The sequence below is a fragment of the Homo sapiens genome, chromosome X, assembly GCF_000001405.40.
Source record: "Homo sapiens chromosome X, GRCh38.p14 Primary Assembly".
NCBI classification, from domain to species: Eukaryota; Metazoa; Chordata; class Mammalia; order Primates; family Hominidae; genus Homo; species Homo sapiens.
Genome location: NC_000023.11, coordinates 155,072,781 through 155,088,438, shown reverse-complemented (window position 1 = coordinate 155,088,438; position 15,658 = coordinate 155,072,781). Strand labels below are relative to the sequence as shown.

Genomic DNA, 15,658 nt, shown 5'->3' with positions numbered 1-15,658 from the left:
GAGGTTGCAGTGAGCCGAGATGGTGCCATTGCACTCCAGCCTGGGCAACGAGAGCAAAACTCCGTCTCAAAAAAAAAAAAAAAAAAGCCAAAAACTAAACAGAGGCTAAATTTAGTCTTCAGACCATTGTTTATAAAGGATACAAAAGATCAGGTGTCACAATGAAACACTGCAGATTACAGTTTTGCCCAATGGCTTACATTCACTTATTTTGGCAATCTGTTCTTCAACATTCTTTGTGTGTATACCTTTTTGATCTAGATTTTGACTTCTCCCCAATGTCCTCCTAAGTAAAGACTGAGACCAAACAGTACCCAGCAATGAGTACAAAGGAAATTGGCTGAAAATATTGCTAAAAGAACATAGCATTGTAAAACGGTCTATAGCAGTACAGAGAATTAAAGTAAATTGCTAAAAGTAAAATTCTTGGTACTGTTAAGCCTATTTCCTTATCAGTTAAATGAGAATAAACATCATCGCTTCTCTCATAGGGTTTTTGTAATTTTTAAATTGCAAAATTTTTAACACACATCAAAGGTACTTCATAAGCATTACTTCCATTCAATTTTATCTACAACCACTGGTAACAACTACTGTGCCCATCATGTTACCCAAACTGCTTTTTGTCAAGGTCACCAATGATTTATTCTTGGTCTTCAATTTACCTGATCTCAGCTGATCACTCCCTTCTTGAAACACTATCTTCACTTTGCCTCACGTTCCCACTCTTCCTACTCGTCTCTAACTTCCTGTCTCTGTTGCTGGATCCTTCTCATCTTCCCACTCTCCAAATATTGGTGTGGCCCAGGCTCAGTGTTCAGTCCTTTTATCTCTCTACCCTTACCCTTTGGGGGATTTTATCTAGTTTTGTGGCTTCAAATCTACACCAGCCACTCCCAACTCTTGCCCAACAAACTCTAGTCCCAGAACTCCAGAACCATAGATCTAAGTTGCCGTCTGACAGTTCAACTTGGTTGTCTTAAAACAATGCTCCTGAGAGTATGTCTCACGTAAGCTCAGTACCTCCACCCTGGCGCCTGCCAAAGCGAGCCGACCCTGCCCGTCCACTGGCTACCAAGAGTTCCCAACCTTGGGCCCCCAGAGGCTCAGACTGGCCTCGGTCACCCCTCCGGGGGAGTCCCTCGTACCCCCATCTTCCCCTGTGGGAAGGCGTATTCTTCTCGCCGGCGAAGCTTCTCCGGGTGGGATCGTTCTGGCATCCCGTCCTAATGGATGTACCCCCTCTGAGCATTGTCTACCCCTTGGGAGACCACCTGAGCGCTGAGGGACCCACTCCAGCCACCGCTGCCCGCGAGGAGCTGTCATCCTATGGACACTTATTCTCATCTCAGCAGGCTCGGACCCTGCACCTCTCGCCCTTGCCCCTCAGCATCCACTCAGAAATTCTCTCAGGCATTCTGCTTCCGTCCAAACACAACGCTATCTACCTCTGCTGGCCACCTCTCAGCCTTTCCTTCTCTCTGAGTGAAAAGCCCATTGGTGCCCTCAGAACAGCCAAAGACATTTCAGAAGCCTCCAACAGAGGTATGAGATGCTTTAATGACATCGGAGCATTAGCCTGGCCATCTTTGGGATATAATGGATAAGAACGGCTGCTGCTTGCTGTATGTTTTTGACGATCAGCTATATAAAGTGGAGTGAACCTTCAGAGCCGATTATTTGGCCAACACTAGGGTAATTCGAGAACAGGGATGGGGGTGCTTTGCACGAGGCTGCGTGCTTTGAATAGGCCACTGCCCAGTCCTGCTTTGAGGAAGCTTACAAAAGGATCCACCAGATGGCGCTGTGAGCAGCGCTTTGGGAGGCCAAGGCGGGCAGACCACCTGAGGTCATGAGTTTGAGACCAGCCTGGCCAATGTGGTGAAACTCCCTCTCTACTCAAAATGCAAAAAAAAAAAAATTAGCCAGGCGTGGTGGCGCGTGCCTGTGATCCCAGCTACTCGGGAAGCTAAGACAGGAGAATCGCTTGAGCCCAGGAGACGGCGGTTGCAGTTACCTGAGAGGGCGCGCCATCGCACTCCAGCCTGGGCAAGGAAGGGAGGGAGGGACGGAGGGAGGAAGCGAGGGCAGGCGGGCAGGTGGGGTTCTCTACAAGACTGGGTGCACAATGTGGACATCGCATGCATGTTGCTGTTAAAAGCCACTCTGGACACTGTGCTTTCTCTCGGACATGCCTTCTGACCAGATATGGCCTCCTTAAAGGATGCAGATGCCACTGTGATCAGCATGAAGTTTCCCAATGGGGCGGCTGTTAGCTTGGACGTCAGCCAGCACTGGACAGACAGCTGTGACCACAGACGGGACGTTCATGATTTCCAAGGTGTGTTGCAGATGAATAATCAGAATCCCTTGGGCATGACCAGGCAGGGTACGTCCTATCACTCTGCTCCCAGACCCAGGCTGGCCGCTACCAAAACTCATATCGAGAGCGCTTCAGACATTTTGTCTGAAGAACCCTTAAAGGGAAAGAACCTCCTGAAATCACCAAAGAGCAGTTCCTCGGAGTCATTCAGGTAGCTGTCATGGCAAAGCAGTCCTGGGGGAACCAGGCAGCCATGGACCTACCCAGCAAATTGGTAAAGATCTCCGTGGTCAAGACAGAAACTCTGTAAACCGCCCCAAGGCTCAAGCCAAGACCCTGCTTGAGATCCAATTGCCTGTTCCACTTCTCCCTGTTACTGAGAGAGGGAGATGGAACTTTCTGGTGACATTATCCTCACCGGAAATTAAGAAAGGAAAGCAACAGGAAACCATGTATGTTTCATTACTGGTGTAACCAAACTCTTCAGGATGTGACTTCAGACCCAGGGATAAAAAGTTGGAGGTCGCTTATCTGTTTTCTGTTGAACTCAGGCCTGGTACACGAGAGATGCTCTTTTGGTCAGTTTCCTCTGGTTGGGTCTTTCAGGAAGAAAGCAGGTTACGGATTGGACCACATAAACTGACCTGGAAACCAGCAGTTTCAGCTTTTCTGTATGGCAAGTACGGCAGAGAGCTGGTTAAGCTGTTAGACTGAATGTCACATGCACTGGGCCCCTTTGTGGGCAATTACACAGGTATTTAAGAAACAGTTTTCTTGAAGAATCTGTGATTTTGTGCACAGTGATATTACACAGCACCATTCCTAAGAAATATGATGAAATAACCATATGTAGTATTAAAAGCCCATTTTATTATTCTTGCCTGAAATAGACATTCTCTTTTAATGTCAGTGGAGGAATGAACTGAAACTGTTTTCCCCCCAAGGGGACATGGAAACATTTCAGAAATAGGCCTTCTCATTTCCTTTTAGGAGCTACGTGGTGAAAATGTTCCTGTGAAGTGGCAGACCTGCTCTGAATCCAGCCTATCTTTCCAAAATTACATGTGGAGGCCATTGGAAATGTTCTTATATATCTGAAAATAATTGACTATTTCTCATATCCTACTTTTTAAAAAAAAATTTTAAGAGACGAGGTCTTGCTTTGTCGCTCAGGCTGGCACACAGTGGTGCAGTCACGGCCCACTGCCACCTCCAACTCCTGAGCTCAAGGGTTCCTCCCACCTTAGCCTCCTGAGTAGCTGGAAATACATGCATGCATCACCACACCTGGCTAATTAAAAAAAAAATTAAGAGACAGAGGCTCGCCATCTTGCCCAGGATGGACTTGAACTCCCAGGCTGAAGCAATCATCCCACCTCAGCCTCCCAAAGTGCTGCAATTACAGGCAGGAGCCACTACACCTGGCCTATCCTACTTTAAAAAAACTTTTTGGGGCTGGGCACGGTGGCTCAGGCCTGTAATCCCAGCACTTTGGAGGGCTAAGGTGGGTGGATCACGAGGTCAGGAGATCAAGACCATACTGGCTAACACAGTGAAACCCCATCTCTACTAAAAATGCAAAAAAATTAGCCGGGTGTGGTGGCGGATGCCTGTAGTCCCAGCTACTCAGGAGGCTGAGGCAGGAGAATGGCGCGAACCTGGGAGGCGGAGCTTGCAGTGAGCTGAGATCGTGCCACTGCACTCCAGCCTGGGCGACAGAGCCAGACTCTGTCTCAAAAAAAAAACTTTTTAAACAAAGATATTAGAACTCACCGTAGTGCTAGAAAAAAAAATTGAGCAGATCTTAAAATGAGGAACATAACTACAGGTACATGTCTCCTTGGATAAGCATTTACAAGTAAAATAAAATGAATATAAAAGAATAACTTCTACAAACAGTACCAAGTCTTGGGAGATTTATGAAATAGTCTGCAGCATTTAAATCACTTATTTTTCTTTTGCAAACGTGTACTGTATAGGTAAAATTCAGGTACGTTAAGTGTGTGTATGATGTAACTGAACTATATCTCTTTCCCCATCACCAAACCTATGTTTCCTCCTCCACTTCCTACTTCCATGAATAGGATTCCCACTTGTTCAATCAAAGTGAGATGCTGTAGAAATCCTAGGCTCTAGACTCATATAAACTCAATTCAGATACTGGGTCTGCTGCTTACTAGCCATCTGGTTTTGGACTGGGTATTTCAGCTCTGACCCTCAGCTTAGTTTCTTCCCCCAAAAGCCACACACTCCTCGTGATTAGCTGGGAAGTATTTCAATAAGTAGAGAGTACCTGACAGTGTCAATGTTTTATAAGATGGGATTTTAAAATGGTCACTAGATTTTCAACATGGATACCATTGATGACTCTAGCAAGATCCACTTTAATAGAAGCCAAACTAGAGTGTTTTTGTTGTTTTCCTCAATGTGAAGTATGAACATATTTGAAAGCTCCATGAAGGCAGGGACCGTGTTTCTCTCATTCATTATCTTCAGCACTTTGACACATGGTAGACACTCAAATTTGTTGAAAGAAATAATAATGGGAAGAATCCAGTATAGTGGCAAAGTATGTAGATGTGTAAAAAAGAGGGGCATAAAAAACAGAGTAAGGTTCTTGAGAATGTAGGAGGCAAAGATAAAATAGGAGGGAAAAGGGGAAGAGAGGCACAGTGACAAGTAGGTGAATCAAGAGAAACAGATGAAATTCCTTTCTAATGGTTCCTGTTTTCTCTATTAAAGTGGGAAGCAATGTTAGATAACATTGCTGAACATGAAGGCAGAAACGGGGAATTCAGAGGTTTGAAAATGAAAGGGTTTGCCTTTGCAAAAAGTAGGAGCATACTGATCAGAGATATCATGGAACATGCACAGCTTCCCAATTTTGGAATTGGCTTTGCAGATATTATTACAAATTGGCATGGCCAAGTCCTCGGTATCTGTTCAACAAATGGACAGGCTGAGAAGAGGCTTGTTATCACCTCTTCCCATTTGACTCACATTTGTTAATTCTGCCTCATCAGTGGCATGAAAATGTTAGTTTGAGGCAGAGAAATCACGCACGTCCAGATGGGAGACGCTGACAAAGGCCTAGCACCACATGCCAAAAGTGCATAACCTGAATCTAGTCATAAGCAAATAGCAGACAAAGTCAAATGGAGCAACATTCCATCTCCTAAAATGTCTATGTCACGAAAGAGGAAAAAAAGTCTAAGGAGCTGGTCCAGAGGAAAGGAGACTAAAGTGACATGAAGGCTAAATGCCATGCATGATCTGAGATTGGATCCTGTATTGGAAAGAAAAAACTGCCATAAAGGACAATATTGAGTTAACTGGCAAAATGTGAATAAGTTCTGTGTAGTTTGCACAATATGATCGTATTTATTAAATGTGCTTATTTTGACAATTGCACTGTGGTTATGTAAATAAATACCCTTGATCTTGAGAAATACACAATGAAGTATTTAAAGGTAAAGGAGCATCATGTCTGCAACTCACTCTCAAATAGCATGTGTGCACATGTGCATGTGTGTATGTTGGAGAGGGAGGGAGAATATGATAAAGCAAATGCGACCAAAGGTTAACAATTGTTGCATCTGGTTCTTCATACTATTCTTGAAATTTTTCTGTAAGAATAAAATTCTTTTAAGATGAAATTTTAAAGTCTTTGTGTGTGTGCTTGTCCTACCTCACCCTTGCTTTTGTTCACTGTCCCCTCCACGCTCCACTGCCAACCTCAACCGAAGGCCAACTCACTTTATGTTCTTTTGAAGGAATGAATAAATTTTGAAAGTGGGTTATCAAGTTCTTCTATCTCAACTAGTTTCCATTCCTTACATGTAAAACTTTATCCTGTGTACATGTATGTTGCTACGGTAGGGCACATAATTCAGCCTCATTAGAGTTTCCTTAGTTACTATGCCTTTTGTTATAGAATAAATGACCTATCTTCTCTCACTTACCCTTTAGCTGATGATGGCTGCTCTTTATTTTCCCCATACAGCTTAACCTAGTTTGTTAGTTTTTGTTCAAGTCTTTAGGTTTGCAGCTTGTCTTAGTAACATCTTATTCTTCCTTTTTCCTAATCCCAAGGCTTTTATTTTTATAGATGCTTCCCCTGTTTATATTTACAAGTACAAATGTTCTATATGGACTACATCTCATTTCTTCTTTATCATGTTACTCATTGTTTTCCCTTTAGTACTCTGTTTTCCCCCCAACAAAATCATTAAGGTCCAGGACAGCAGGAGCCATGACCTTATTATTCCATACAGGTATCCAGTAAATTTCCTGAAGAATCGTTTTATGGAATGATCCCTTTAAATTATGTTCAAAACAGTGTTACCTAGCCCACTGGAACTTAACCTAATTGCACTAATTACCTTATCATAAAAAGCACTGAAATGGTCACGTCACTCTCCCTCACCAACTAAAATTATACCTTTCCTTTAACAGAAAAAAAGATTTCACTTTCTCACTTGTCACTCTTTACCACAGCTTGGAATTCTTTTCCTGTTAAAGGTAGTTAGTTTTTATTCATTGCTCACTTTTTCTGAGGTTTGTAATGCAATACAGTGCCTCTGTTAGACTCAATTCTTTTTTTCCCATTTATTTACTTTCTTAAATACTAGTTTTAATTGACAAATCATAATTGCATACATTTATAAGGTACTACTTCTTAAAAGGCTGTTTGGAGATGAGTGTGAATGCCAGCTCAGTTGGGCAATTATTTTTCTTTAGTTGTACCCATAGTTTCATTACTGTACTTTTTTTTTTTTTTTTTTGAGACAGAATCTCGCTCTGTCACCCTGGCTGGAGTGCAGTGGTACAATCTCAGCTCACTGCAACCTCCATCTCCCAGGTTCAAGTGAATTCTCCTGCCTTAGCCTCCCCAGTAACTTGGATTACAGGCACCCGCCACCATGCCTGTCTAATTTTTACATTTTTAATAGAAACAGGGTTTCACCTTGTTGGCCAGGTGGGTCTCCAACTCCTGACCTCAAGTGATCTGCCTACCTCATCCTGCCAAAGTGCTGGGATTACAGGCGTGAGCCACTATGCCCGGCCTGTAAATATTTTTGAGATCTCAGGATCTCAAATGAGAGACCTGATGTGTCCTCATTGTTAATCCTTTGAATATTGTCTGCCCTTCAATATAGATATTTCATATACTCTCTCCATGTCCTTGAGAGTTTTACAAATAAATGCTTTGGTGTCTTTCTTTTGTTGCTCATTTTATAGGTGAACAGCTACCATGGTAAGTGTGGGACAAGGTGTTGTATACATGATTTTCATATACTACTCTTAACTCTGAGACTATGTTCTTTTCTGACAGAGAGGAAACTACAGAGGCATAGACAAGTTAAAATATTTTCTCAACTAGTAAGTGACTGAAACAAGATGCTAACACAGACCTAGTCTCCAACTAAATCAAAGCTGGTATTCCCAACCCTCATGCTATGGTAACTCTCTAAACTTTCTTTACACATAGCCCTTATTGCATATTCTAATTCTTGTTCAGGTAGGATATCTATACTCTGGACTCCAAATCTATTTTGTCTTGAATTATTTGCACATGGCTTCTTAATCATTTCATAATTTAGAGTTGATTTTTTTCAGTTACTTTCTGCAGTATCCCTTTTTTTTTTTTCTGACTGCTATAAAGATTGAAATGTTCCCACTACTGTTACTGCTGCATTACAAACTCCTACCTGGGTTCTTGTTTAATGGCTCAGATCTTCTCCCCTGAGAGAATTCAATTATTCTCTGAACTCTGAAATTTTCTGGGTGCTCTGCTTCAGATACTTATAAGGTATTTTTCCTTAAATTCGTAGGGAATTTCTTTTTACCACCAAATTTTATGTATTTATTTCCCATTGTAACTTATTACTATAGTGAAAATAATTGTTCAGTAATATATGTGTCAAACTTTTCTTCATTAGTGGCTGATGGCACTACCATGGGAAAAATTTTAGGCCAATCTGATTTCAGTGTTGACAATGACAGGAAAACAAATCAGCCACTGAATTTTTTCAGTGACATTAAGGCTTTACAGGAATATATTAATAGTTATAAAAACAACTTTATTGGGACATCAGTGAACCAATTAAAGAATCTGAATAAGGTCTGTAATTTAAATAATACTATTATATGAATGGTAATTTCCCAATTTTTATAAATGTATCATGGTTATGTAAGAGAATTTCTTTGTGTTTAGGAAATTCATAGTGAAGAGTAGGGGTAAAAGGTACCATGTCTGCAACTTAATCTAATACTTCAGGAAAAAATTATCTTCAGACACACACACGTATATACATATATGTATAAGAGAATGATACAGCAAGTGTTGCCAAATGTTAAAGTTTGGCAAATCTGGGAGAAGGTAGATCTGTCATCTCCCTTATTCTAAATCAGTATTTAACTAGGGGCGTTCAACAATATCCCCACCTAACACCTACTCCCAGAGGTTGTTACAGTAGGTTTGAGTTAGGGTCTAGGAAAGATTAATTTGGGGCAGGCACATTTTATGAAAGCTTTCTCAGGTGATTCTGAGAAACATCCTCACCCACCCAAGACTGAGAACTAATACTGTATTTCTTAGGACCACTCGTGTTTCATTAAAGTCTGGGACTGTACCACTGATGACTTTTTGCCATTCGTATCACAGTGTAGATGAATATATAACTTGCTATCAACTCAAACCCATATGACTAGTAGTAGCACAGTGGGAAGAGCAGACTTGGGAGTCAGACCTGGGTTCTAACCTCAGCTCTGCAACTTACTTAATTCATGTGAGTCTTTGTTTACCCTTCTGTACAATGGGGGTAAGATCTCTAACTCACAGGTTGCCACAAGGATTAGAGAAGAAAACATCTGTAAACCATTAGCACATAGTTAAGTGCTCATGAATATTAGTTCACTCTCCCCAAGTTATTCTCCTTCTTTCTGGAGACGCAGATACGGACAAAAAAACCCACCATGATTCTCAAAAAGGGGTAAAGGTAGAAAGAAAGCAATTTAGTTACATTACACTGATTAGAAGGGTAAAGATGTATATTGAGAGCCCCAATGGACTATACGTAAACAGCAACTGTAAAAATCAATTTTGCAAATTTTACCCTTTAATATCTTTAAGTCTGCAGAATGGGAGTGTCCTGGACAGTAATGATATTCAGCAATCAGCAATTTTCAGTTAACAGTTTAATTTTTTTATATCAACTGACAGACTTATTAAAAACAATCAATATGACATAAATCATTACTTTTAATACATAATAAAATAAATCAAAATAATGACATCTGCTAAAGGACAGTCAAATTTTGGTTTAAAATAACCATACCCTATGTAATGGAAAAGGAAACATGATATTAATTTCTGAAAACAATAAACATTGCAACCCCATGATACTTACCAACATGTGAAGGCCAAACAGTTATATGAGGATGGGAATGATACCAGCCCACAACTCTCATGGGGCGGCCTGTCAGTTCAGCCAACCTGTGTGTCTGTCAAGGTACTTTAAAAATGTGGGAACAAAATTTATGATGCTAATAAGGGCTCAGAAAGCACCCTGAAGTTTAAAATAAGCTTATTACAATTTAATGGCAACAAAAGAATGAAATAAGATTAATGCTGAGTTTCCCATAATGCCCATTTAAAGCCAAAATTTCTAAACTAGAATCCACATGGTTTCCAATGCCATATATACTTACATCCTCAAGTTTAATTTAGCTGATGTTTCATCACTCGAATCCTTACCACTGTGCTATCTGAAAAGCTTTTCTAAATCTTCAGAAGTTGTCACTTTCAAGACTGCTGCTGTTATCCTGTAAAATGCTCATTAGTTTTCCTGCAAATTATTTATATTAAAATATAATAATCCTTTTTATACAACTAAGTCTGAGAAACAATATTTCTAAGATATATTTTCAAGTTTTCAAATGCCAAGAGAAACTACTTAACTTCTCTTAGCCCATTTCTTCAGCTGCAGACTGAGGCAGGGGAATAATGTTTCAGAGCAGTGAAGAGTAAGTGCAATAATCCACACACGGTGTTTAGCATAGTGCCTGGCAAACACCTAGTAAGTGCTTAACAAATAGTAATTGCAGCTGAAGTTTGCAGGGCAGAGGACCAGAGAGGAGAGCTGCAGAGAGATAGCCTGCATATCTGCACTTGAGGGTCCCACTTGAGCATTCAGCAGATCACTGATGAGCGGAAGCATGTGAGGAAACTACGAGAGGCCAGGGAAAGGATCCCTGAAGAAAACAAAAGTGGGATGGGGATCAGCTTCATATTCACTTACGAGGCGCCGGCCAGGACACTCGGAATCATACTGAAACAAATCACAGGAAACAAATGCCCCATTTGATCATTTTGGGGTTATATGTAACATGAAACACTGCATTCAGTTCCCAGCATTGCATTTTTTGAGAGGAAGTCACAAAAGAGAATCTCTCAAGAGGATAGAGACCAAGATAGTAAATGGCCTAGAAATTAAATGATACTAGGAAAACTGGAAGGAGGGGCAGGGAGGAATGGAGAGAAGACTAGGGAGGAAGATGGAGGGGACTCCACACAGAGTTCATTGTCGCAGTGTTTGACCCTGAGATCTTTTGGCATTTAGGAGCAGGAATGTCAGAAAATTTCTAATTCTTCCAATAAAAGCCACTCAAAAGGAGAAATAGAGAGAAATTCTAAAAACCAAACAATTGGATCTAAGGGAAGAAAACTTGTGAAACCACCTAAAGCAGGATGACTGCAGCAAGCAGCAATGCGGCCCAGGAACCCCAGAGCACATAAAAGCTTCTATTGACCAGTAAGGATATCTCTGCCTCTGTTGAAGCTGCAGACAGCTGCTCTGGAGAAATTTCTACTCGGTCCTTCCTCTTATCAGAACGTCGTAAGATGATGACAGAATGAATGTGAACAATTCTGACGGCATCAACCTAAAGGAAAATCCACAGAAATGGTTACTTACAGCTCTCTCCAATAACACATCCCCCTTCAACTATAGAATTGCATTTTATTATAATATCAGATAAAATATTCCATTTTAGAAAACTGACACTTTTCTCACGAATAATGAAATGTTTCAAATAAAAGACACCCAACCTCAATATATACATTTCAGACACAAAAATATAAAATATATATGCTAATATTTAAATCAAGGAAGGACTTTTAGGATGATCAACTAGTAATTATTTGACTTACAACTATGTACAAAACACTGTATTGCACAAAGGAATATAAATCAGAGCACTGACAAAGGGTTCAATGTGCTAACGACATGGTTGAGTGGCAAGTTGTCATTCATGAAACTCCACTAAGATAATGTAGTAAGTCAATGCCATAGGAGCTGATATGGCTGGGCTCTGTGTCCCCACCCAAATTTCATCTCAAATTGTAAACCCCACGTATCAGGAGAGACACCTGGTGAAAGGTGATTGGATTGTAGGGGTGGATTTCCCCTACGCTGTTCTCATAATAGTGTGAGAGTGAGTTCTCAGGAGATCTGATGGTTTAAAAGTGTGGCACTTCCCCCCTCACTCTCTCTCTCTCCTACCACCATGTAAGATATGCCTTGCTTCCCCTTCACCTTCCACCATGATCATAAGTTTCCTGAAGCCTCCCAGCCATGTGGAACTGTGAGTCAATTAAACTTCTTTTCTTTATAAATTACCCAGTCTCAGGGAGTTTTTTTTTTGTTTTTTTGTTTTTTTGTTTTTGACACAGTCTCAGTCTGTCGCCCAGGCTGGAGTGCAGTAGTGCAATCTCAGCTCACTGCAACGTCTACCTCCTGGGTTCAAGCGATTCTCCCACCTCAGCCTCCTCAGCAGCTGGGATTACAGGCACACGCCACCATGCCCGGCTTTTTGTATTTTTTGGTAGCCATATTGGCTAGGCTGGTCTCAAACTCCTGACTTCAGGCCTGCCTCGACCTCTCGAAGTGCTGGGATTACAGGCATAACCCACCGCACCCGGCCTCAGAGAGTTCTTTACAGTGTGATAACAGACTAATACAGGAGCTCAGAGGAAAGAACTCACTTATATTAGAAAAGTAATCTTTTACATAAGCAGAATATGAATCTAAAAAAGAAAAAAATCTTCATAGAAAAGGCAGACAAGTGTATCCATTCCTTGATTATTGTGGGAAGTGGGGGGAACAGATTTTCTACAGGTGCCGAATGGAAGTAGTAAAGTGTGAATGAGGTGTCTGGGAGACAACTTACCCAACTGATTTAGATACAGAGCTTGAGGTGAAATGGCAGATGGCAAAGCTAAGAAAGTTGGAGTGAGAATGTACAAGACCTCAAATGCCAAGCCATAATTTGCAGGATGAACTCGAAGGAAAAAAAATTATTTCAGATAAACTGTACATGAAGTAACAATGAAGTACTGGGCTAAGCAGATGGCAGAGATGGAAGAAACAGATTTGAGACCCATTAAAAAGAATGAATCTACAAGATTTGGTAGCTTATGGACCATGGGTGATGGTGGACAGGAAACGGTCAAAGAGGACTCTAAAGTTTCAAGGTTGAAACTAGGTAGAACGTGTGAGGCAGATCTAAGTTTAGAAAGGGTCAGGAAGGAAAGAAGATGAGCTTGTTTTCAGATGAGATAATCTGGGATGAGAGATATACAATATGGCAATTTTTAGCAGGCAAGTGGGATTATAGCTTAGACTCAAACAGCATCAATGCAGGAATCAATAAAGCATTTATGAGTGGACAAAAAAGGTGTGGAGAAAGGGAGCAGAGGTCTTGGCCTGAATCAAGGGGAGTGGCCACATTTAGTGTGGGGAAGAACAAGAAGGGCCAGGGGAAAGAGTGGGCTTAGCATTATCAGATGTTGAAGGGACAAGGGTGAAATCTGAGAGAAGGCTTTTGAAACAAGCTATAGATTTTCACTGTGCAACAGGTCTGATTTCAGATATGCAGCAAGTATGAAATACACATGGAATTCAAAGACAACACAAAAGAGAAAAAAGGAATGTAAAATATCTCAACATTTCTTAATATTCACTACATATTAAAATAATAATCCTTCAGATACTTAGGTTAACTAAAATACACCCTTCAAATTAATTTCATTTATTCCTTTTTACTGTGATTACTAAAAAATTTAAAATTATGTATATGGATCACATTCGTGGCTCACATGATATTTCTTTTTTTGTGGTTTATTTTTGTTTTGTTTTTCAACTGAATACTCCACTTAAAAAGATTATCACACTGGATTTTTTAAAAAGTATTTACCACTAATAAGAGACACAAGAGACACATTTTAAATATTAGTATACAGAAAGGCTAAAAATAAAAGGATAAAAAATACACTATGCAACACTAAAAAGGCAGCTTAACTAATAAAGTTTAATATCTAATTTAGACAGTACAAACTGACATAAAACTCAAGACGAGGGCATGAAATCTTGAATAATAAAATTACATTATTAAGATTGGAATGTATCTTAGTAACTGATGCCCAGGGTGAATTGTTTCTTTCTCTCTTTCTTGCTTTAGTCAGAGATTTCAGTGCCTAAGAGGAATGAGTAATATTTAATGCATAGACAGAGGAGGAAGAGGAGTCCACAAAGGATTGTGGGAAGGGGGAAACAGGAATAAAGGCAATACAACAAAACCAACAAAAACTCATGAGAGTTTAGAGATTCAAGGAGAAAGATGAAGATAAGCACCAGGAAATAATCCACCGAAGGTAGAATTAGAAACCAGACCTCAGTGGGTTTGACTGGGGAAGGTGAAGGAGTAGTAATTGTAGCCCATTCTTTTAAGAAGTCTGGCTATTAAAGGAAGGATATAAGAGTACTGACTACAGGAAGATACGGGATTAAGAAGTAGCTTTCCTTTCTGAAAATGAGAGTAATTTAAGCATATGTTTATCCTAAAAGAACCAGGTGACAGGGAGAAGACCCAGAAAAGAGACAGAACATTTGATAAACAAGGTCTCTGAAGAAGCTGCAGCTTTGGATAGGAAGAGGACTTATTTCTTTGATATGGGAAGAGATGCAAAGTGATTAAGGTGGAGAAGTTTGTAACTAGTAGTAATAAGTAGATGAAGGTGTGGCCTGATAACTTGGTGGGAGGAGGGGAAGTAATTCATTTTTTTTGTATTTTACAAAAGCATCGGTCTGTGACAGACTGGGGGAAACGTTAACTGGTCCGATACCACGATTAGGTGAGAAGCATTACACTAGACCATCAAGGCTAGAGCATGCCACAAAAGATGGTGTAGGAGTGCAGATAGGAAAAAAGTCAAGGCAGACTAAGAACTATGATGCTATGGTCAGTTTGCCTGTTTAAGAAGAGAGGGCTGCATGAGTAGATGTTGGAATTCGAGATAAAGAGGTAATAGTGATGTGAAAGTATCAAGGATGCCAAAGTATCAAGGAAAGTGGGAGAAGGGCCAGAAAACAGGCAGTGACAGCAAGGAGAGCAGCAAGAGGGTGGTACTGACAGTGATTATTAATCTTGATCAAGTAGAGACAATTTGCTACAAAGAACAGAAAATTAGGTCCCATTCCTAGTGAGTAGATTCTTCATCTGATTTTACTAGAAAGAATATCTCATCCAGCCAGAAACCGCATACTCTGGCTGAGATCACTGGATTACAGAAATCTTTCCCCAACTGCAAGTTTCCATCATGCAAAATTTTAGCACACATACCTTTTCAGCAACTGTGCGCATTTCAGTTCCAGTATATGCAAATTTGGAGTCACTCCTACTGGGAATAAATTAGAAAAAAAAAAAGGAAGTGGGGTTTGGAATATAAAAAGGAATTAAAGCAAAATAACAGGATTAACTGTTTTTGCAATGAAATCTTAGCAGAGACCAAAGAAGAGGAGGGAAACTGAATTGAGGCTAGAGCTGCACTCTATCTGTTAGAAGCAATCTGGGACACATGCACAAGTGGCTGAGTGTATAAAGTTATAATGGACAAAGCTAAATTCCTGGAATCCTGGGAACTAAGGAGGTGGGCTTGAGAAGTATACTATGGTATGATTTGAAGTTTAAATTAAAATGTTACCGAAAGGTTTCACCACGTCAAGTATTGAAGCTACTGGGGATCTCTGAGATCACTGAGGTCCATCAGGAGGAAAGGCAATGTCACTGTCAATTTACGTGAAGGAATGGATCAATGGGGAAATGCCTCTAAACGTATATGCTCTCTGTCACTAAGAAAATTACTGATATCTCACTGGCATTTAAGGGGAGACAGAACATGAAATACACTGAGCAAGGCCAGGTGTGGTGGCTCACGCCTGAAATTCCAGCACTTGGGGAGGTCGAGGTGGGCAGACTGCTTGAGCCAGGAGT

General features: G+C 40.6%; 1 protein-coding gene across 4 annotated transcripts in view; it reads right to left on the bottom strand.

Annotated features, from left to right (window-relative positions):
• Window positions 1-15,658, bottom strand: part of BRCC3 (BRCA1/BRCA2-containing complex subunit 3) — a 51,570-nt gene that overhangs the window by 34,639 nt on the left and 1,273 nt on the right. For 2 of the 4 annotated variants that reach the window (XM_005274751.5, NM_001242640.2), the window contains exons 3-5: window positions 15,008-15,065; window positions 11,150-11,269; window positions 9,736-9,823 (exon numbers count right to left, since the gene is read on the bottom strand). In XM_005274751.5, the coding sequence (XP_005274808.1) occupies window positions 9,736-9,823; window positions 11,150-11,269; window positions 15,008-15,065 (266 nt within the window). The remainder of the gene's footprint in view (window positions 1-9,735; window positions 9,824-11,149; window positions 11,270-15,007; window positions 15,066-15,658) is intronic. The other 2 variants (NM_024332.4, NM_001018055.3) reach the window with 1 other exon arrangement.